We start from the raw sequence: 23,956 nt of genomic DNA on the forward strand, positions 1-23,956 counted from the left end.
ACCACGTTGCCCAGGATCGTCTTGAACTCCTGGTCTCAAGTGATCCTCTTATGCCCAGCCCATATTTTTAAATCATTCCCCCAAGAAATCATGTTACTAAAGACATCATTGCATGAATTCAGCTTTATATAGGTGAAGAATTAACTTAATGTTCTTTTTAATGGAAAAATGGAGAAATACAAATTAAAACAATAGTGAGACAACATCTTTACACCCCTAATTTTGATAAAAATGTGAAGATTGATAAAATGTTTGTGAAAGTGCAGGGTATTTATATACATTAATTTCTGAGAAAATGAGTACGTATAGCATTTTTGAAACATAATTTCAGCAATATTTGTAAAAATTTAAAATATTCACACTCTGTCTACAGTAATCAATTTTCTCATTAATATGCTTTTCTTATGAGAAAACACAAATAGATGTCCAATAATTCATGTTTAAAGATGTTGTTTTTAGTTATATTAATCATAGAAGCAAATGGGAAACAACTTGTCTATCAGGAGGAGAATGATTTAGTTAATTATGGCATATACGTACTTTAGAGTGGATATACCATATGTGCTGTCATGGAAAGGTCCTGCACCCATTTTATTAAGTGCTAAGGCAAGTGACAGATCAATATGTTCATAATTACCCATTTATGTTAAAAAAATGCATTTTTATAGTACATCTGTTTCTGAAAAAGTCTAGAATAAGCTTTAAAACAATACACACCAGATTGTTAATTATAGATACCTATGAAGAACGGGCTGAATGTTGAAGCAACTTTGTAAAGTTGAGAATTGTGATTTATCTGTGTTTGCCAATAGTTTTGCAATAAGAATGCATAAGCTACCATCTTCATAATTAAAATATTTAAATACTCCTCGCAACAGAAATAATAGCCATGTTAAAGGATGAATACAAGATGTGGATGAGCACTTGTAGTCTCTCTCATAAGCTGTCACATAGTGGATCTTTAATAAAAGGCAACTATTGTAACTTATTATAACAACCACCATTTCTTGGAGGAGTTTCTGAGAAAGTCAGATTTGCTCTGAAATTCACCAACTTCTTAAAGGGCCTTCCATGTTACAAATGCTTTCAAACATAGAATCACATCTAATTTTCAAAGGATCCTGTAAATGTTAGCAGGGAGTGTTTGCCCCTTTACACTCAATAGCACTTTTCTGCATAGCCCTTTGCAATAACCTCTATAATCTCAACAGGCTGTGAATTTTCTCTTTCCTTCTGATACATGGTTAAAATTTTAACTTATGAGTCTCTGCTACAGTTTCCATGACTGAACTTGCTTGAACACCTGTACCGGTACTATTAGGCAAACTGCAAAATAGGATTTTCCTGTGGGGCTAGGGGAGTGACAGCATTAGGAGAAATACCTACTGTAGGTGACAGGTTGATGGGTGCAGCAAACTACCATGGCACATGTCTACCTATGTAACAAACCTGTACATTCTGCGCCTGTATCCCAGATCTTAAAGTATAATAAAAAAAATTTTTTAAAAGAAGAAAATTGGAAAATTTCTTGAAACAAATATTCAAGGAAACACAGCATACCAAAACTTATGGAATACAGCAAAAGCAGTAAGAGACTTTTATAGCTGTAAGTGTCTACAACAAAAAAAGAAGAAAAGCCTTTAATAAACATCATAACCATGCATCTTAAAGAACTAGCAATGCAACCAATCCCAAAATTAATAGAAGAAAAAAATAATAAATATCAGAGTAAAAATAAATGAGATAAAATGAAGAAAATAATAGAAAAGATCAATGAAACAACAAATAGGATTTTGGAAAACTAAACTGACAAAATTTTAGCAAGACTGACCAAAAAAAAAGAGAACATCCAAATAAAATCAGAGATTAAAAAAAGACAATTCAATTGATACTGCAGAAACTCAAAGGATCATTAGTGGCTACTATGGGCAACTACATGACAATAATTTGAAAAATCTAGAGGAAATTTTAAAAAATTCTAAACTCAAGCAACCTATCAAGATTGAACCAGGAAGAAATATAAAACCTGAACAGGCCAATAACAAATAATGAGATTGAAGCATAATAAAAAAAAGACTCCCAGTAAAGCCCAGGCCACTATGGCTTCACTGCTGAATTCTACTAAACACTGAAAGAAGAATTAATACTAATTATACTCAAACTATTTGGAAAAATAAAGAAAAAGGGAATACTTCCAAACTCATTATATGAGGCAAACATTACCCTGATACCAAAACCAGACAGTCACATCAAAAAAAGGAAAGTATAGGCCAATATCTCTGATGAATGTTGATAAAATTCTTCAACAAAATACTAGCAAACCAAATTCCACAATATATTAAAAATATCATTCCTCATGATAATGTGGGACTTTAACCTGCATTTTTTTTTTTTTTCTTTTGAGATGGAGCCTTGCTCTTGTCGCCCAGGCTGGAGTGCAATGGCATGATCTCGGCTCACTGCAACCTCTGCCTCCCGGGTTCCAGTGATTCTTCTGCCTCAGCCTCCCAAGTATCGGGGATTACAGGCGCCCGCCAACATGCCTGGCATTTTTTTTTTTTTTTGTATTTTTTGTAGAGACGGGGTTTCACCATGTTGGCCAGGCTGGTCTGGACTCCTGACCTCAGGTGATCCGCCAGCCTCGGCCTCCCAAAGTGCTGGGATTACAGGCATGAGCCACTGCGCCCAGCCCTAACCTGCTATTTTTTTCTCTTCCGAGTATCACTGGCAATCAACAATGACCACCCGATTTCACAATTCTTATCATTAATGTTTCTCCCTTTTAAATACCACAGGTATTGCACAAGCCAATACATTCCCTATTACCTGTATCTCATCTCAGCTCATCAAAGGAGAGTGAATAACTTAACTGCACTGTCACAGCAACTCAGGGAATATCAAGGCTCAGCCTACTACCAGAGATTTGCCAGTCAGCTACGAGTGACCAAACTCCATACCTCCATACTCACAGTTGGCTTCCTAGGAACATTCAGGATATCAATTGCCTTAGCATGGGTCCTTAAAAAGGGAACAAGAGAAGGCTATTCTTGTGCAAGTGATTTAATGATGAAGCACTCAGGAGGTACTTGTAAGTAAATGAGGAAAGTTGGTTTAGTTAAAGAAGAAAACCTAGCAAAGATGTGAATTAAGCTAAAGAATAGCTTCGGCTGTATCCCTACGGGACTTCTAAGGAATGAATGACAGCATAGCAGTGTTGCCTTGTGCCCAAGGAGACAAGGCATCTATGTCTTTGCATCAGTATTCCATTGTATGGATATACCACATTTTGTTTATCCATTAATCAGTTAATGAACATGTAGGTTACTTCTGCTTTTTTTGTTATTATGAATGAAACTGCTATTGCAAATACAGCTGCTATCAACATTCACAAACTGGTCTTTGTATGGACATCAATTTCTATTCTCTTGAATTAATATCCAGGAGTGAGATAGGGCTGGGACTTTTTTTGTTTAAATATATGTATTTTTGACATTTTTTAAAATTAAAAAACTGTTTTTCAAAGTAGCCGTATCATTTGGCAGTTTCTATAGAAGTATTTGAGAAATCTAGTTGGTCTGCATACTTGCCATCTCTTAGTTTTATCTATATTTTAATTTCAGCCATTTTTAAGGGTGTGTACTGTTGTCTCATTATAGTTTAACTTTCTTTTCACTAAGAAATAATGATTTTGAGCATTTCTTCATGTGCATTTTGTCATCTGAATATCTTCTTTGGTACAGGGTCTGTTTAAATTTTTTTATTATTTGATTAGGTTATTTATATTCTTGTAATGAGTTGTAAGAATCCTTTATATATTCTGGTTCTTTGTCTTATATAGTGTTGCAAATATTATAACTTTTTGTGCATATTGTGCAATATATATTATGATATGATGGTTGTCATAGGTATTATATTTACATACATAATTACTCCCACAGGACAATGTTATGATTTTTTATTTGAACAGTTGTGCATTTTATTAAAAGAAATTACAAGGAAAATATTAACTTACATTTATCTACATATTTATTATTTCTAATGCTTTTCCCTCATATGTGAAGCACCACATTTCTCTCTAGGGTCAATTTATTCAACATGATGATCTTCCTTTAGCATTTTTTTTTTACCAGCACTCACATTTTATTATTATTATTATTATTATTATTATTATTATTATTATACTTTAAGTTCTAGGGTACATGTACACAACATGCAGGTTTGTTACATAAGTATACATGTACCATGTTGGTATGTTGCACCCATTAACTTGTCATTTACATTAGATATATCTCCTAATGTTATCCCTCCCCTCTCCCCCGACCCCATGACAGGCCCCGGTGTGTGATGTTCCCCTTCCTGTGTCCAAGTGTTCTTATTGTTCAATTTCCACCTATGAGTGAGAACACATGCTGTTTGGTTTTCTGTCCTTGTGATAGTTTGCTGAGAATGATGGCTTCCAGCTTCATCCGTGTCCCTACAAAGGACATGAACTCATCCTTTTTTATGGCTGCATAGTATTCCATGGTGTATATGTGCCACAGTTTCTTAATCCAGTCTATCATTTATGGGCATTTGGGTTGGTACCAAGTCTTTGCTATTGTGAATAATGTCACAATAAACATACGTGTGCATGTGTCTTTATAGCAGCATGATTGATAATCCTTTGGGTATATACCCAGTAATGGGATGGCTGGGTCAAATGGTATTTCTAGTTCTAGATCCCTGAGGAATCACCACACTGTCTTCCACAATGGTTGAACTAGTTTACAGTCCCACCAACAGTGTAAAAGTGTTCCTATTTCTCTACATCCTCTCCAGCACCTGTCGTTTCCTGACTTTTTAATGATCGCCATTCTAACTGGTGTGAGACGGTATCTCATTGTGGTTTTGATTTGCATTTCTCTGATGGCCAGTGATGATGGGCATTTTTTCATGTGTCTTTTGGCTGCATAAATGTCTTCTTTTGAGAAGTGTCTGTTCATATGCTTCACTCACTTTTTGATGGGGTTGTTTGATTTTTTCTTGTAAATTTGTTTAAGTTCATTGTAGATTCTGGATATTAGCCCTTTGTCAGATGGGTAGATTGCAAAAATTTTCTCCCATTCTGTAGGTTGCCTGTTCACTCTGATGGCAGTTTCTTTTGCTGTGCAGAAGCTCTTTAGTTTAATTAGATCCCATTTTTCAATTTTGACTTTTGTTGCCATTGCTTTTGGTGTTTTAGACATGAAGTCCTTGCCCATGCCTATGTCCTGAATGGTAATGCCCAGGTTTTCTTCTAGTGTTTTTTGGTTTTAGGTCTAACATTTAAGTCTTTAATCCATCTTGAATTAATTTTTGTATAAGGTGTAAGGAAGGGATCCAGTTTCAGCTTTCTACATATGGCTAGCCAGTTTTCCCAGCATCATTTATTAAATAGGGAATCCTTTCCCCATTTCTTGTTTTTGTCAGGTTTGTCAAAGATCAGATGGTTGTAAATGTGTGGTATTATTTTTGAGGGCTCTGTTCTGTTCTATTGGTCTATGTCTCTGTTTTGGTATCAGTATCATGCTGTTTTGCTTACTGTAGCCTTGTAGTATAGTTTGAAGTCAGGTAGTGTGATGCCTCCAGCTTTGTTCTTTTGGCTTAGGATTGACTTGGCGATGCGGGCTCTTTTTTGGTTCTATATGAACTTTAGTTTTTTCCAATTCTGTGAAGAAAGTCATTGGTAGCTGGATGGGGATGGCACTGAATCTATAAATTACCTTGGGTAGTATGGGTATTTTCATGATATTGATTCTTCCTATCCATGAGCATGGAATGTTCTTCCATTTGTTTGTGTCCTCTTTTATTTCGTTGAGCAGTGGTTTGTAGTTCTGCTTGAAGAGGTCCTTTACATCCCTTGTAAGTTGGATTGCCAGGTATTTTATTCTCTTTGAAGCAATTGTGAATGGGAGTTCACTCATGATTTGGCTCTCTGTTTGTCTGTTATTGGTGTATAGGAATGCTTGTGATTTTTGCATATTGATTTTGTATCCTGAGACTTTCCTGAAGTTGCTTATCAGCTTAAGGGGATTCTGGGCTGAGACGATGGGGTTTTCTAAATATACAATCATCTCATCTGCAAACAGAGATAATTTGGCTTCCTCTTTTCCTAATTGAATACCCTTTTTGTATTTCTCCTGCCTGATTGCTCTGGCCAGAACTTCCAACACTATGTTGAAAAGGAGTGGTGAGAGAGGGCATCCCTGTCTTGTGCCAGTTTTCAAAGGGAATGTTTCCAGTTTTTGTCCATTCAGTATGACATTGGCTGTGGGTTTGTCATAAATAGCTCTTATTATTTTGAGATATGTCCCATCAATACCTAATTTATTGAGAGTTTTTAGCTCAATAAAATACTGGCAAACCGAATCCCACAGCACATCAAAAAGCTTACCCACCATGATCAAGTGGGCTTCATCCCTGGGATGCAAGGCTGGTTCAATATACGCAAATCAATAAATGTAATCCATCATATAAACAGAACCAAAGACAAAAACCACATCATGATCTCAATAGATGCAGAAAAGGCCTTCGACAAAATTCAACAGCCCTCCATGCTACCATTTCTTGTAGTATGGCATAGCAGCAATAAATTCACTTAGCTTACATTATCTAAAAATGTCTTTATTTTAACTTCATTATTAAAGGATGTTTTCATTTGATATATAATTCTAGGTTGACTTATTCCTTTTATACTTTTACTGTGCCATTGCAGTCTTGGACCTCCAGAGTTTTCAATGAACACTACTTAGGCATTTGAATCACTGTTTTCCTAAATACAATTTGTCTTTTCTTTGTGGTTAGTTTTACAATTTCCTTTCTCTTTCTCTTTTGTTTCACTATTATATGACTAGACATGGAATTTTAGAAATTTATTCTCGTAAGAGTCCATTGAACTTCTGAAATCTGTGAATGTATGTCTTTTACCAGATTTGGGAAGTTTTTAACCATTACTCCTTCTAAGATATACTTTTACTGTCCTCATATCTCTTCTCCATTTGGGACTCCAATTTCCCATATGTTATACCATCTGAAATTCTCCTGAAGTTCTCTGACCTTTCTTTACTTTTTCAACATTTTTTTCTCTCTCTTCTTTGGGATAGATGATTTCTGTTTATTTTTGTCTTGATGTTCACTGACTTGTTCCTTTATCATTTCTTTGCTGCTATTAAGTCAATCCATTAATTTTTTTAACTGCAGATATGATATTTTTCAGTTATAAATTTATATTTGGTTCTATTTATATTTTTCTCTGCTGATATTTTCTACATTTACATTGTCTATTCATATATTTTCCTTTAACTCACTGAACATATTTACAATAGCTACTTTAAAGTCTTGTGTAATAATTCCAATACCTGGGTTTTCTCTGAGGCTATATCACATTTTCCTGACTTGGGGATGTCAGCTGATTTTGTATTTTATCCTTATTGTGCCTATTGTGTTGTGGAAACAGCATTCTGTTCTTATTTTGAAGACTGTTGATATTTTTTAATTAATGTGCAATTAACTTGGTTAGACTCAAACTGCAAACTGTCATGCCTGGGCTCAGATCTCAGTTTAGTTTTATTTTTAAACAATGGCTTCAAATTCCTTCTAGGTTGCATGAGTTGTGTGTGGTTCAGGATTCATCCAAAAACTTGAGTTTAAACACGTACTTGGGTATTCACCTTCTCTGGTACCATTCCCCCAGGGTTCTAATCTATGGAATCCAGCAACTTGCTTATCTCAGGCTCTTTCCTCTGCTTCCTCCAAACAGATTTTTTTTTGAGTTTTATTGACTACATTCACCCTGAAGGCAAGCATATGTACACATGCAAGCACATACACACCAGATAATTCATTTTATGCCAATAGCTTGTTCTATGTTTTGATTCTCCTCCAAAATCTTCTTGCCTCTCTTCAATCCCTAGAGTACTCAAGTAGTTATTTTTAAAATAATTAATCTTGGCTTTATAGCTGTTATTTCCAGAGGATCCATTTGTTAGAAGATCACTTCTCCACAGGGAACTTGCATAACCTACTTATTTACTCAATTACTCTTTCTTTCTTTTATATATATATATTTTTTTTTATTACACTTTAAGTTCTAGGGCACATGTGCACAACGTGCAGGTTTGTTACATATGTATACATGTGACATGTTGGTGTGCTGCACCCATTAACTTGTCATTTACAGTTAGAATGGCAATCATTAAAAAGTCAGGAAACAACAGGTGCTGGAGAGGATGTGGAGAAATACACTGGGTGGGACTGTAAACTAGTTCAACCATTGTGGAAGACAGTGTGGAGATTCCTCAGGGATCTAAAATTAGAAATACCATTTGACCCAGCCATCCCATTACTGGGTATAAACCCAGAGGAATATAAATCATGCTGCTATAAAGACACACACACACGTATGTTTATTGCCACACTACTCAATTACTCTTTCTTTCTAAATGACACAAACTTCAATAACAGTAGTTTAAAACTACTAAGAACATTTATTTGGCAACCTATTGCTTACCAGTTAAAATATCTTACATTCCATCTATTATAAAAATACTTTCATTGCATAGACAAATTTTAGACTAATTCTCCCTTCCTGAGATCACAAGATTGTAGTCATATTACACACACACACACACACACAAATATACAAATTTATGAAATTTGCTATGGAGTGTGTTTGCATGTATATATATTTCTGTGTGTGTGTGTGTGTGTGTTTGTGTGTGTGTATTGCCAGAGAAGAATGAGACCCAAAGCCGGAAAACCACTTTCCAAGGTCACAGTATGAATCCATGGCAGGCGAGAACCAGTTACTTAACTGCCCAATTGATTTTATTAACAGCAGGCTTCAACCAAGGAAGATAACTGATAACCCATTTTTAATGCCCTTTTAGCCTTAGCATTTGACTTTGGGATTGGACTTGCAACTTGCTTCAGCCTATGAGATGTTTGCAAATTTGACCCAAGCAGAGGCCTGAAAATTGCTATTTGACGTGCTTGCTCTGGATTTCCTGTCATGAGAACATGTGCAGGATATCCTGATAAAGGATGACATGCATGGAACACAGCTGAGTAATTCCAGTCATTTCTGCCCCGAAAATTCTAGATCAGCCACAGCCAGCTGACTCCCAGATGTATGAGTGAGCCTAACATTAGCTAAGCCTATCCCAGTTCAGCTGAAACCTGCAAATTAGTGAGCTGATTAAATGATCCTCATGTTTGAAATGCTTGTTCCCTGGTGCCGTAAAGAAATAGCACTTGAACATAAATTTAATTTCTCAGCAAGGCCATTTTTATACTTTCTGCAGAAATGGTACATTCACCAGCAGTTTTGCCAGGAGAGTATACCGAACAAAGGAGACAGGGTCATTTATAACCTGACGCATCCACCCTACTGCTGTATCCAGTTTCCATTGGCTGGAACGGGACCTCACATTCTGTATATGTCCCGATTGGCTAGCAACTTAGAACTTTTTAAAAGAGGCAAAGGCAGAGGAGAACAAAGGAAGGAGAAGTAACTTGTGGAATGCTGATAAAGGTAAAAACACCTTCAAATAAAGAAGAGGAACAGGCTATGACCTAATACTTGCTTGGAATAGGATAAGCATGTCAGGGCAAATATTTAGGCTAAATTGTGGGAGCTAAGAACATAAAGTACATTGATTTCTTTATTACTGCTAGCAGATATTGAAGAATGTTAGCACAGGTCTTTGAATAAATTTTGCTTCTAAGAGAAGTTACTATTTATTCTTAATTAGATAGGGAGGAAAGTCTTTGAAGACGAACCTCTACTTTTTATACTCGTATGTCACAAGGATTTATGGTTGTTTGTTATGCAACATTATTGTGGCTGACGGTAGTTGACACTTATATATTAGATGTTATAATCATAGGTCACTGGTGTTAGTCATTTGCATCCTCTGCAACACCTACTGAAACTCTTACATTCTCAACCTGCTCACAGATCAATTCCTGGACTTCCTCCACAACAATGCAGTTCTTTCTTTCTTGTGTTTTTTTCTTTCTCTGATTGTCTTTTGTGTGTAAATTATTTATTTTCTCACACTTTAACATGGAGTTGGGAGATGAGGTTGGAATTTTATGCTGCTGCATCCAAATTCTTTCTCTTCCATATTTGTGCAAAATAAGCTTTTTTAAAAAAAAATAGAGCCTGTTCACTCGCCTTCTAGGATCTTCAAAGTTTAGTGAACATCTTACACAGATTTGGATCCCAAATGCCTACCCTTGTCATAGAGTGAGAGCTTGATAAAATCTCTTTAGTTGAATAAACGAAATTTCTCCTTTGAGAATAGCACCATCTGGCAATACCATCCTATATTTCTTCTTGCTGTGTTCACCTACCAACATTCTGGCCATTATTCCATCTCTATTGAAGACGAGCAATTTACTCACAGTCTTTTATTCTGCCTCAAGATTTGCGGTCATCCAAGGAATTCAATGTCCATGTTGAAAGCTTATATAATACCCTGGCTTTATACTTATTTGAACTCTTTTTCACCAAGGATGATTTGTTTCTCTAAATTTCATCCACCAGAATACGTGATCACACCCTAACCCTTATACTCTCTTGGAACTGTTTATCCTCTAAAGTCTTCAATTCTAATACATTTTGCTATATGTCATAACTGCTTACCATTCCAGTTATTTTACACTTTAACTCCAGATTGCCTATACTAGATCTCATCATTTTGTCCTGGGAAGTCTATTCCTATCCTCCTCCCTGCAGTTTCTCACCTATCTATATTAGATATATAATCTATTCTTTATTATTATTATCCTCCACTCTTTGGCCATTTGTCCTTTTGTTTCATGAATCAGCAAAATACTGTCTTTGAATCTATGTAAATGAATCCTTTCTCCACTCTTATGCCCAAGCTAGTTTCCAGAACGTCTACCAAAAAATATGCAGCAGAGGAATTTGCATATTTGTCTCCTTTCCTTTTTTCATAGGTATCTCCCCTTTTCCTCTGAATTTCATCCTTTTATACCTATGCAGTGGGTTGACATTTCAGTTTTCTCTTCTTATCTCTAACGTCTCTTTCCCATATATTAAAAATATTTAACGTTCTTTTCCTAAACCAAAAATGTTTACTTTCTTATTTAGGCTCTGCACGATCTCTCTTCCTGGGAAAAACCAGAGTTATTAAAAAAAAGTCACCTTCATTTGTTAGGTATAATCTTTAATTCCAATTACCTTCAAGCTAACTATATTTAGGCCTATGCCTACATCACTCTACTGAATTTACCCTGTGTTAAAACAGACATTGATAATTATAATAGGTGCTCGGCCAAATTTATTGTCAAATTCTATTGTTGCATGACCCTTGTATCTTCTCATTTTCTCCTATTATTAGTAAAGCTTTAAAGAATAAAGAAAGAGCATTATTTGCAAAATTTGTTGAGTACTCACATTGTTTCAGGTTTGTGTGACAAATTATTTGCAAACTCAGTAATGGCTTTTCTGAAATTTTGATAAAAATCACATGCTTCCTATTGCTAAATCAGAAATGCCTCAGTCTCTGAAATTCAAAAGATGCTTTGTCACAAAGGCAATTCAAGACTTTTCCACTTGTCATGCTAGGGAATACTCTTTTAAAAGTCTTTTAAAAATCTTTTCAAAAGCAGATATTAATTTCTGAACATTTCTCTTCTGTAATGTAGATTTAGAGATAGAGACATTATTCAATGAGAATCTACTTCTCCTTTAATTTTCTTGTTTTTAAATAAAAAAACAGTTACAATTGTTTGACAGGGAGCAAGTATGTTGAAAAACAGGCTTTAATAAGTGGTTTTGCAGTATACTATTTCTTCTTTCTGTTTTTTCAAGTTTCTCTAAAATGAGGCCACAATATCTTCAATTTGAACAAAGAGCTGTGCTTTAGTGCATTGTGAATACTGTTGGCTATTACCCCACCATATCTATCCTCTGTCCTTCTTTTCCTTGTTCTGTTCCTAAAAACTGTATCATTAGGACACTACTCCCACTGGCTTATTACTAGATTTAGACAATGGGTGTCACTGGCAGGAGATAGGAGGGGAGGAAGAGATAATGGTCATTTCCTTCCTTCCTCTGTGCTGAGGCTTTGGCAATGACTGGACCTCTTAATTACAGGTGAAGTCAGGCTACCACTTTCCATGGCTCTAGCTCACACTGAGTTTGTTAAGAGCACTTCTTCTTTCCTTTCCCTTGTAGGATTAAGGATAGAAATAACTTCCAACTTTTATTTCTTGGATGCCTGTGTATTTTTCTATTGCTGTATAACAAATACATTTAAAAAAAAAAAAAACCCCAGCAGCCAGGTGCGGTGGCTCACGCCTGTAATCCGAGCACTTTGAGAGGCCAAGGCAGGTGGATCACGAGGTCAGGAGTTCAAGACCAGCCTGGCTAAGATGGTGAGACCCCATCTCTACTAAAAATAGAAAAATTAGCTGGGCATGGTGGCAGGCGACTATAATCCCAGCTACTTGGGTGGCTGAGGCAGGAGAATCTCTTGAACCTGGGCAGCAGAGGTTGCAGTGAGCTGAGATCATGCCACTGCACTCCAGCCTGTGTGACAGAGTGAGACTCGGTCAAAAAAAAAAAAAAAAAAAAAAAAGAGAGAGAGAAAACAAACAAACGAAAGCCTAGCAATTTAAATCAACAAATATTTAATATTTTAATTTTTATGGGTCAGGAATCAAGCAAAGCCCTCTTGGGTATCTGTGGCTTGAGGCTTATTGATGGGGAAAGGGAGTATCTGTTTCCAAGGTTATTTACATGATTATTTATGGGCCTCTGTTTCTTACAATATGGGCCTCTTCACAAGATTTTCTCATGATAGGTCAACTGGATTTCCCCAGGGTAAAAGATCTAAGAGAGGGAGAGTATGCCCAAGACAAAAGCCAAATATTTCTAACAGCCTAATTCTGGGAGTTATATCCCATTGCTTCTGCCATATTCTACTCATTAGAAATAATTTCGAGGTTTACAGGTATTTTTTTCTTTTAGTAATTTGAAGATGTTGCTCCACTGTCTCTCACTTGCTTTTTTCCCATGAGAAATGTGCTTTCTTCTTTATCTTTACTCTTCTGTATACAATGTGTCTTTTTACTCTGATTTATTTAAACATTTTTCTTTTTCACTGGTTTTGAACAACTTTATTTTAATGTGCAGTGGTATAGTTTTGTTTACGTTTCTTGTGTCTTAGTTGTGTTGAGCTTCTTGGGTATGTAGGTATATAGTTTTGGTGCAGTTTGAAAAAGTTTCATCCAAAATTTACTCACATATTTTTTGAGATCCCCTTTCAGGAACTCTGCTAACTCCTATATTAGGCTTCTTGAAATTATCTCACAGCTCATTGATGCTCTTTTCATTGGATGGGTGAAAGGGATCCTTTTTGGTTTCTATATTTCATTTTTTTTTTAGTTTCTATTGCTGTGTTTCCATGTTCACTAAGCTTTGATTTTGTTATGTAACATATCATTAATCGTACCTAATGCATTTATATCTCAGATGTTATAGTTTTCATCTCTCAAAATTTAGGTATTTTTATATCTTCCATGTCTCTAACTTTCCTAGTATGTGGAATACAGTTATAATAATATATAATATATATTATGTATAATGTTAATATATAATTATTATATACATATTAATGTATAATATTAATATATAATTATTATATATACAATTAATATATAATAAATAATATAATATTTTATATATATATCTTCAATTCAGAAAGGCAAGTGTTGGGAGTTCCTTGGGTTAGGTCTCAAGACGTGGGATGACTCTTTATGGTTCTCAGCTCTACCCTCTGGTCTATTGGTTTTGCCCTCTGAATCATGTCTTCTTTTTCATGAAAGGTAACATATATTTATTTTTTAACATTTCTCTCAACCTGTTTCTCCCAATACACTTCTGAAGGTTCAAAGGCCCCTCCTCATTATTTCCAATCATGTGATATTTCTTTGTATCTAATTCTTTTAAGAACCTCATGGGCATCCTTGAGTCAAGGTTCACCCCATTAGACAAAAGCCAACCCACAAACCTCTTTGAAATAAGTCTTCCTTAACCTTGGGCTTCTGCTGAGGTGGCTGAGGGATAACACCCCAAAGCTTCCAAGATTGGCTATTATTTTACTGAGAGGATCTGTGAAGCCCAGGCTTAATCTGTATGAGGAATCTCTTGTGTGACTAAATAGTACTTTGACAAACTCCCTTTGATTTATCTGAGGTCTTAACAAAAGGATTTACAGACACACTCTTGGTTTCATCTTTCAAACACTTTCCCCTGGCAGCGTCTTTGATTTGATCTTTGACAAAAAGGTATTTCTTCATTTTATCATCTGTTGCCATCTTGCAATATTGAGAATTTAAAAACCATCAAGAAACCCCAAGATATAAAAATGAATTTGAAATTGTGTATTTGAGAGGGGTGGTAATGAAATCTTAAAGTTGCTTTAAGATACCCTCTAGCTTTCTTGTTACAGTGGGAGATGAAGTCTGGTTTCAGCTATTCCACATGGCCAGCAACAGTAGTTCCTAATCAAACCTCAGCATTTTTCTTGAAATTTTATTTATAATAGGTTATACTTTTTCTCCTGAAGTGCTTTGTGATCAGATAGTATCGGTAATAATTTCTTGGGCCAGCGAGCAGAGATTTTCCATTTCTGGATTAATGGATAGGACACTTTTTATGGATTCTAGCTTTTATAAAGATGGGACAGACATTATTTCAGCTCTGTTCCCTGTATAGTTCTGACCTCTCATCACCTTTCTCTGTGTGTGAATTAAACCCCAGAACCCTTTCATTTATAGGAACCATAATTTAACTCATAATCAGTTAAAGTACATCAACAAAATGTTCTTTAGCCCTCATTCACAATTCTGGCTGAATTTTATTTGTTAAAGCTGTGCATGTTGAATACACACACACACACACACACACACACACACACACACACACACATATATACACACAAATATATATGTATACAAACATATATATATATATATATATATATATATATATATATATATATATATATGTTTCAATGAGTTTAGGGATAAAAATACACCCATCAAACCATCACCACAACCAAGACGGCAGACGTACTCATCACCTCTCAAAATTTCCTTCCAACTCTTTTTTAAGTTATTTTTGTCTGTGTGGTAAGAACACTTAGCATAATATCTTTTAGAAAATTGGAAATACAGGATACAGTATTGCTTGCTCTAAGCACTAGGCTGTATAGTAGATCCCCAAAATGTATTTATCTTGTATAACTGAAACATTGTATCCTTTGACTAACACCTCTCCATTTTCCCCTCCCACCAGCTTCTGGCAATCACCTTCTACTCTCTACTTCTATAAGTTTGACTATTTTAGATTCAACATATCAGTGTGATTATACAGTATTTGTCTTTCTGTGTTTGGCTTATTTTACTTAGCATAATGTCATCAAGATTCATCCATGTTATAACAAATGTTATGTTTTTCTTCATTTTAAGGCTGAACAATATGTCACTGTATGCATATACCACATTTTAAAATTATTTTCTTCCTCTGTTATCTTTGAGCTTAGTGTGTATTTTTTACCTAGTTCATTGAATTGTAAAGTTAGCTTGTTTGAGTTCTTTGATTTTTCTTAATTTAGCCATTTACCACTATAAACTTCTATCCTAGAACTGCCTTTGCTGCATACCCTAAGTTTTAGTATGTTGTGTTGTCAATTTTATTTATATCACGCTACATTTAAATTTTGTTTTTGATTTCTTCTTGATCCACTGTTTGTTTATCTCTGTTGTTAAATTTCCATATATTGTGAATTTTCTAACTTACTCCTGTTACAGATTTCTACTTTTATGCCACCATGGTTGGAAAAAATACTTACTATGATTTCAGTTTCTTAAATATGTTAAGACTTGTTTTATGGCCTAATATATGATCTATCTTGAGGAATGTTCCATGTCTACTTGAGAAGAATGTGGATTTGGCTTTTGTTGGATGGAATATACTGTATATTTGTGTTAGGTCTATTTGTCCACACTTTTGTTCAAACTGTTGTCCACACTATTTCCTGATGCTGGGTCAATCCTGGAGCCTTGATCCAAGGGAGATCGCTGGAGTGGACCTGGGACCTGGGACTGAGGGGGACAGCCTAGCACTAGGACAGCCCTGGACCCTAAGTCCATAAATATTATTTTGACTCCAGGGATCACTGGTGAGATCCTGAAACCTACATCCACGCGGGTCAGCCTAATGTTGGAATCGACTGGCTTGGGCCTGGAACCTGAGTCCGTGGTAAAGTTGAATGCACACTTCACTCTCTATTCCCCACGGGGAGCTCTCTGGGGGAGAAGATCTCTCTCAGCCCTGCAATGAGACAACTTGTGGAAGAGGTGACTTCAATAGAGTGAAACTGTCCTTCCTATCCTCTTCAATGGGTTTTTTCTCATTTTGGTGTTCTGCCCTATTGCTACAATCTCTTACCTGGAATCCAGAAGATATTGTCATGCATGGATGGCTGCTTATATGGGTGTTTCTGTGAGGGGGCAATGGGTGGAATCTTCTATTCTGCCATCTTGCTGACATCCTGGGTTTTTTAATCTGAGTAGCTCCTCGTATTGCTTTTAAACTTAGTATTTTGAAGTTAGAGAATGCTGTTGATGAGGGCTTACAGAAAAATGGTAAAAATATAAGAAACCAGAGATGTGCAGACAATACTAAAAACATATAACTATCTCCTATGTCACATTAAAGTATATGTTATGGAGAATAATGAAAGCAAAGGGAAGAATTGTTATCATTTTGGTACTTTTTTTTTCTTTTCTTTTCTTTTCTTTTGAGATGGAGTCTCATTCTGTTGCCCAGGCTGGAGTGCAGTGGCATGATCTCGGCTCACTGCAACCTTTGCCTCCCGGGTACAAGTGATTGTCCTGCCTCAGCCTCCTGAGTAGCTGAGACTACAGGTGCCTGCCACCACGCCCAGCTAATTTTTGTATTTTTAGTAGAGATGGGGTTTCTCCATGTTGCCTAGGCTGATCGCAAATTCTTAACCTCAAGTGATCCACCCGCCTCAGCCCCCCAAAGTGCTGGGATTACAGGTATAAGCCACCGTGCCCGGCCAGTATTGTGTTATTTTATGTTGAATGAGAAAGAAGTCGTCAGTTATAAGACAATTTTTAACAGAGGACTAATAAAGTTAGGGAGAAATAGGTGAGGAAAATGTTCCCCTGGAAGGGGATATATGAAACGCAAAAGCTCTGGAGCTGAGGATTGGCTGATGTGTTCTCAACACAGCAATAAGGCCACTGTTGCTGGGGTTCACCATAGCTGCAGCAGACTAAGTAAGGAGGAAAGAAGTAGATAATGCGCCAGACATAAGGGATGAGAAGATGGATTTTGTGAGGTCTTGCACACTATTTTACATATTTTGATCCTTATTCATGAGGTACCATTAGAGAATATTTGAGGAGAGTTGGGACAATCTGTTCTACCAGGTTCACTCTGGGTGCAGAGTTGATTATAGAATGTAGTGGCAAGGGCAATCATTTAGGTATCCAGTTAGGAGCCTATTGCAGTAATCACAGCAACAGATTATAATACCTTGAACCAAGGTAGTGATTAAGTTGTGTTGTTTTTTAAGATACTCAGTCTTTGTGTCTGGTGTGAGTGAGTGGGTAGGTTTATAAGTAAATTCAGTCTTGCAATGTAGACTAAAAGTCCTAACATCAAAATATTTAGATAAATAAGAATACCTTAGGTCAGTCTCTCAAAAGGAAACAGAAGACACATCCAAATAAGGGTAATGTGAAGAGTGCTGGTTTACAAAGGGATTATTGACAAAAGCATAGGCAGAAATAAGCTTCAACCCAGAGAGAAAGGGAACACTTTGATGTAGCCCATTCATGGCAAAATTTTAGTAGGAAAAGCTTAACGGGGCCGGGTGCGGTGGCTCATGCCTGCAATCCCATCACTTTGGGAGGCTGAGGCAGGAGGATCACAAGGTCAGGAGTTTGAGACCAGCCTGGCCAATATGGTGAAACCTCGTCTCTACTAAAAATACAGAAAGATTAGCCAGGCGTGGTGGCGCATGCCTGTAATCCCAGCTCCTTGGGAGGCTGAGGTAGGAGAATTGCTTTTACCCAGGAGGCGGAGGTTGCAGGGAGCTGAGATTGTACCATTGCACTCCAGTCTGGGTGATAGGGTGAGACTCTGTCTCCAAAAAAAAAAAAAAAAGAAAGAAAAGAAAAGAAAAGAAAAGAAAAAGCTTAATGGAGAAGGGTTGAGAGTGGATATACAGGCAAATAGAAAATATCCAGATCAAGAAAAACAAAAACACAACACCTGCCCACAAATTACTGAATTATAAAGTACCAACCATAAAAGGGCCCTCAGAAAACAATTTATTATAACTTATTTAACTATTGCTTGAGTGATTATTTAAGATTTTTCAATCATTTCCCATGTGTTAAGTTTTTCTATAATATCAAAATGCAAGTCCATGGTGCAGTATCTGACACACAAGAACAATAAATGTATTAAATAAATTAACCTATGCCTTATATATGTATATGAGATTCATAAATTTTATATAAACTCCCTTTTGTTACACATAAAATTTCAATGATGCTAGTATATAGCACATGACTTTTGTATTAGGGTGAGTGGATATTTAAATTCTATACTTTTATAATGTTAGTCTCATGTTTGGGTTCCCTTAAAATCAGAGCCTAGGACATAAATTTTACAACAAGAATTTTATTTGAAGAGTGATCCTAAAAAACAGGAGAGAAAGCAAGAGACAGATAAAAAAGTGAAGCTAATATAAACATGCATTATTGGGTTCGCTACTGAGGATTTAATTTAGATGAGGTCACTGAGAAGGCTAAAGAACACCACCCAGAATTACCACCTGGAAAATAGAAGGCTACATCCCATCCTCCCATAGGCTACAGAATTTTACATCCCATCCTCCTTTGGTTAAAGGCTGTTCTGAGGGTCATTAACATACTCCCAAACATACCCACAAATCTGCATTCTCTAGTGTGCTTTCAAAATAAGTTTCCTGGAAGAGGAGGCCCTAGGTCAGAATGAAAAAATATATACTTTTGTTTAATTCACTTGAATCCAAATGCTACAAGCTGCAAGGGAAGTTGGAACTGTCCACCAGGGCTGTGACTGAAATAAGGCACAGCCTAGGGCATGTGGCATGAACACTATGGATAAACTAGAAGCTAAACAATTTGAGCCATATTTTACGAGTAAAATACATCATCTACATTCTATGGAATCCCTGTATTTTCCTTATTTTGACAAATGTTCCTCTTACATTCAAATATAAACATGATTGAATCTCTGAAGAAATTGTAATTTTAATAAAGAGATTATCCTCTTAGAAAAATAATGACACTTTGGAACTCAATTCAAAAGATCACAATATATGCACTGATATTGCTCATCAAATGGTAAGGCAAGGTGACAACATGTCTGTTCATTTATTTTAGAATAGTAATAATAATTTTAAATTTAATTTATTTACATAAGAATATGTTATTTTTAATTTAAGAGTGAATTATTATTCACTTTGATAAATCAGCCTTATAAGTCTTAAACAAAAGTGAAATAGGGCATTCTAAAAGTATATTATTGAGAAAAACACTGACATTCAATGTGGACTTTAATTACAAATGTAAAATTCACTGACGCACAAGCTAATATCATCTGTCTTACTTGTTTTCTAATGTAGAGATAGGAGCATGGAAAGTTAATGTCACTTTTTTAACAAAGCAGGCAAAATCTTCTGCCTTTTAAGGTCAAAATTAGCTCCCCTGAGCTCCTTTGATGAAAACTTCTAGGAGACACTGAGTGACTTTATCTGACTTTCAAAAGAAAGTCTTGCAAAGGCATAATTCTAATTTGTATGGTTAATATGAGGGTCAATACTTGAATATCTCGAAAATCTGAATGGCTACATGAGTGAAAGAAAAACAAATCTTGCGGCCCCCAAATCACTGAGCTAAAGGGAAAAGTCAAGCTGAGAACTGCGCAGGGCAAGCCTGCCTCCCACTCTATTCAGTCATCCCTCTGCTCAATGAGATAAATGCATATCTGATTGCCTCCTATGGAGAGGCTAATCGGAAACTCAGAAGAATACAACCATTTGTCTCTTATCTACCTATGACCTGGAAGACCCCTCCCTGATTCGAGTTGTTGCGCATTTGCTTCCAGTTGTCCCACCTTGCTGTACCAAATCAATGTTTATCTTACATATGTTGTTTTTTCATGTGTCCCGAAAATGTATAAAACCGAACTGTGCTCCGACCACCTAAGGCACATTTCATCAGGACCTCCTGAGGCCCTATATCATGCACACATCCTAAACCTTGGCAAAATACAATTTCTAAATTAAATTGAGACCTGTCTCAGATATTCGGGGTTCACACATGTTAACATTTTTAACAGAATGTTTTGAAGTTTGTGAGAAAAAAGTTTCCAGGGATAAAAACATATAAGGAAGTCTTTCATTCCCTTAAATGGAGAAAAATGTGACAGACCTCTCATTTCCTGCTGAAATAATAATAATTTAAAATCACTAAATAATCCATTTTTACTCTAAAGCCATTGGAAAGCTAGGACACAAATACATATAAATTAGGTAAACTCCAGAGGATTGGCCCCTCCCTAAGTGATCAAAGGAAAGAGTGTTTTTGCATGCCTTTGGGATAATTGCCACATGGGGGCCAGACAGGCAGAGGGAAAAATCTGCCAGAGATGAGCAGTAATAGCCAGGAAGAGAAGAAACCAGTCAAATATCTGATTAACCTATAGCCTGAAATGTGGGGTTTTAATGTGGAGGAAACTGAAATGCAAAGACGATCATTTGCAACAAGTAGTTCTGATAATTTTTCAGTTTCAAGATCTAGGAAAAATGAGATGCCCCAGGTCTGAAGCATAGAGTCTTTAATTATGTACTTGCAGGGCCCAACTAGGGGGAAAATCGTGACCTCACTTTCGTAGAACAGGAAGCGAGAGACGAACTATGTTTAACCAAAGAAACCACTACAGTCTGGGTTTTAGCTCTGAAACAAAAGGGATAGGCTCAGACTTACAGTACTTTAACATTCAAGCACTTTCTAAAAAGATTAAGGTGGCAAACCTGCCCCACTCAACTCCTGATTGGCTCAATCTGATCAGCTGCTTCCTCTAGTTGTCTAAAAGTAGATGGGACACGCATGATTAAGCAAAAAAAAATATGCAAATGTATGTAAGTGTGTTTGTATATTGAATACATGATACAAGTAGCAAATAGTGTGTATTTAATAATATATATAATGTGTACTATATAACATATAATGCTTATTGTCTGATATACATTAAAATAATATTTATATAATATCCAACATACAACACTATACGCATATTATTTGATCCTCTAATCTTTTTAGAAAAAAATAAGTGAAACACAATTCAAAAGTTACAAAATGTGAAAATATAAAATGAGACCTGTAGTAAAGAGAAAATGCAGCCAATAGAAACAGACCCAGTGATTATTCATACACTACAATTATCAGACAAATGTTTTCAAATGATTATGAAAATTATGTAGAAAATATGCATTTAAAAGTATATAAAGAGAAAGAGAATGGGGAAAATCAGGACAGGTCTTGAATATGGCATAAAAATTGAGTGGAAATCCTTGAACATATATAATCAGTATGTCAAATTTTAAAAAATCACTGGATGTGAGATTGACTTCCAGAATGGTGGAGTGAGGACCGTGGTGAACTCCAACCCTCACACACTCACACAAAATAAAATGCTGGCAAAGCAACTAAAATCAGTGATTCTTAAGTGCTCAAAATTAACCAAAGCCACAGAACAAACTGAAAAAAATCTGTCCAAGAGAAAACTACTGATCCTCTGTAAGACTGGAGTGTATGACATTTCATCATGAGACTACTGCTATCTCTTTGTTCTCCTACCTCTCCATCTCATTTATGAGGTAGCCATGAAAAGCCAGAAGTAGAAGAAAGTCACAGAGATACATACTTAGACACATGTATTAGTCTGTTCGCATGCTGCTAATAAAAACATACCCAGGACCAGGTAATTCATAAGGAAAGAGGTTTAATGGACTCACAGTTCTACATGGCTGGGGAAGCCCCACAGTCATGGTGGAAGATGAATGAGGAGCAAAGTCACGTCTTACATGGAGGCAGGCAAGATATCTTGTGTAGGGGATCTCCCCTTTATAAAACTCATGAGACGTATTCACTACCACAAGAACAGCACGGGAAAGACCTGCCCCCATGATTCAATTACCTCCCACCAGGCCCTTCCCATGACACAAGGGAATTATGGGATCTACAATTCAAGATGAGATTTGAGGACACAGCCAAACCATATCAACACATAAAAATCAAATCCATGAAAGTCAAAAGGCAGAACAAGGTGGTCAAATAGATGCCTTCACCAATCAACCTCCCTGTAGGAACACCAAATTTAACAACTATCTACAGGAGAAATCACCTTTATTAGAACTAAAACTTAGGGGAATTACCACAGTGCCTGGTTGTAACTTTATGTCACCAAAAAATAAACTGAGTAGGGTAGGAAAGAAAGTCTTAAATTGCCAAAGACATCTTACCCCCATCCCATGGCAGTGGCCACGTGGAGTAGAGAAGCAAATTTGTGTACTTGGGAGAGGGAGAGTGCAACAATTGTGGAATCTTCCATTGGGACTTAGTGCTGCCATGTCATAGTGAAAGACAATATGCTCCGCTGGCACCCACAGAGGGAGCATTTAGACTAGCCCTAGTCAGAGGGGAATTGCCCATCCCAGCAGTCAGAACTGAGTTTTGGCAAGCCCTGCCACTGAGGGCTAAATTGCTCTGGAGTTCTAATAAATTTGAAAGGCAGTCAAGGCCACAAGAACTGCAAATCCTAGGCAAGTCCTGACACTCTGCTGGACATGGAGCCAGTGGACTTGGGGGGTATGTGACCTAGTGAGACACCAGATGGGGTGACCAAGGAATTACTTGCAGCACCCCTCCTCCAACCCCAGGAAGCACAGCTCACAGCTCTGAAAGAGACCTCTTCCTTCTGCTTGAGGAGAGGAGAGGGAAGAGTAAAGAGGATTTTATCTTGCATCTTGGATACCAGCTCAGCCACAGTAGTATAGGGCACTGGGCAGAATCATGAGATCCCTATTTGAGACTCTAGCTTCCTGGCAACATTTCTAGACACACCTTGTGCCAGAAGGAAACCTGCTGCCTTGAAGGGAAGGAATGAGTCCTGGCAGAATTTGTTACCTGCTAACTGAAGAGCCTTTGGGACCTGAATAATCAGCAGCAGTAACCAGGTAGCGCATGCTATGGGCCTTGGGTGACACTGTGAGATGTGCTAGCTTCAGGTGTGACCCAGCGAATTCATAGCTGTAGTGGCTATAAGGAAGGACTTCTGCTTGAGAAAAGTAGAGGGAAGAGTAAAGGTGACTAAGTCTCGCAGTTTAAGGACCAGCTCAGCCACAGTGGGGTAGAGCACCAAGCAGAAACTTGGGGTTCCTTATTGCAGTCCTTACCTCTTGGACAGCATTTCTGGACCTACCCTGTGACACAGGGAAGCCCACTTCCCTGAGGGTGAGTTCTAGGCTTGGCAGCCTTCACCACAAGCTGATGGAGGAGCCCTTGGGCCTAGAGTGAACATTGATGGTAGCCTGGAAGTACTCAGTGTGGGCCTGTGGTGGTTAGTAGACATAGTGAAAGATTCCCCTCTCTGGGGAAAGGTGAGATTAGAGTGGGAATGATTTTGTATTCTGGTTTGGCTGCCAGCTCAGCCATAGTAGTATAGAGCACCAGGTAGATTCCTAAGTTTTCTGACTCCCAGATGGCCTCTCTGGAACTACCCCAAGGGAACTCACCACACTGGAGAAAAAAC

General features: G+C 36.9%; 1 annotated feature.

Moving 5' to 3' along the window:
• Positions 2,736 to 3,431: an enhancer, noted in NCBI's record as "OCT4-NANOG hESC enhancer chrX:144401244-144401939 (GRCh37/hg19 assembly coordinates)". NCBI's record gives its function as "activates a minimal SCP1, AML or CMV promoter by ChIP-STARR-seq in naive H9 embryonic stem cells {active_cell/tissue: H9 hESC(naive)}" and the evidence as "EXISTENCE:reporter gene assay evidence [ECO:0000049][PMID:30033119]".

This window comes from Homo sapiens, chromosome X (genome assembly GCF_000001405.40).
Source record: "Homo sapiens chromosome X, GRCh38.p14 Primary Assembly".
Taxonomy (NCBI): Eukaryota; Metazoa; Chordata; class Mammalia; order Primates; family Hominidae; genus Homo; species Homo sapiens.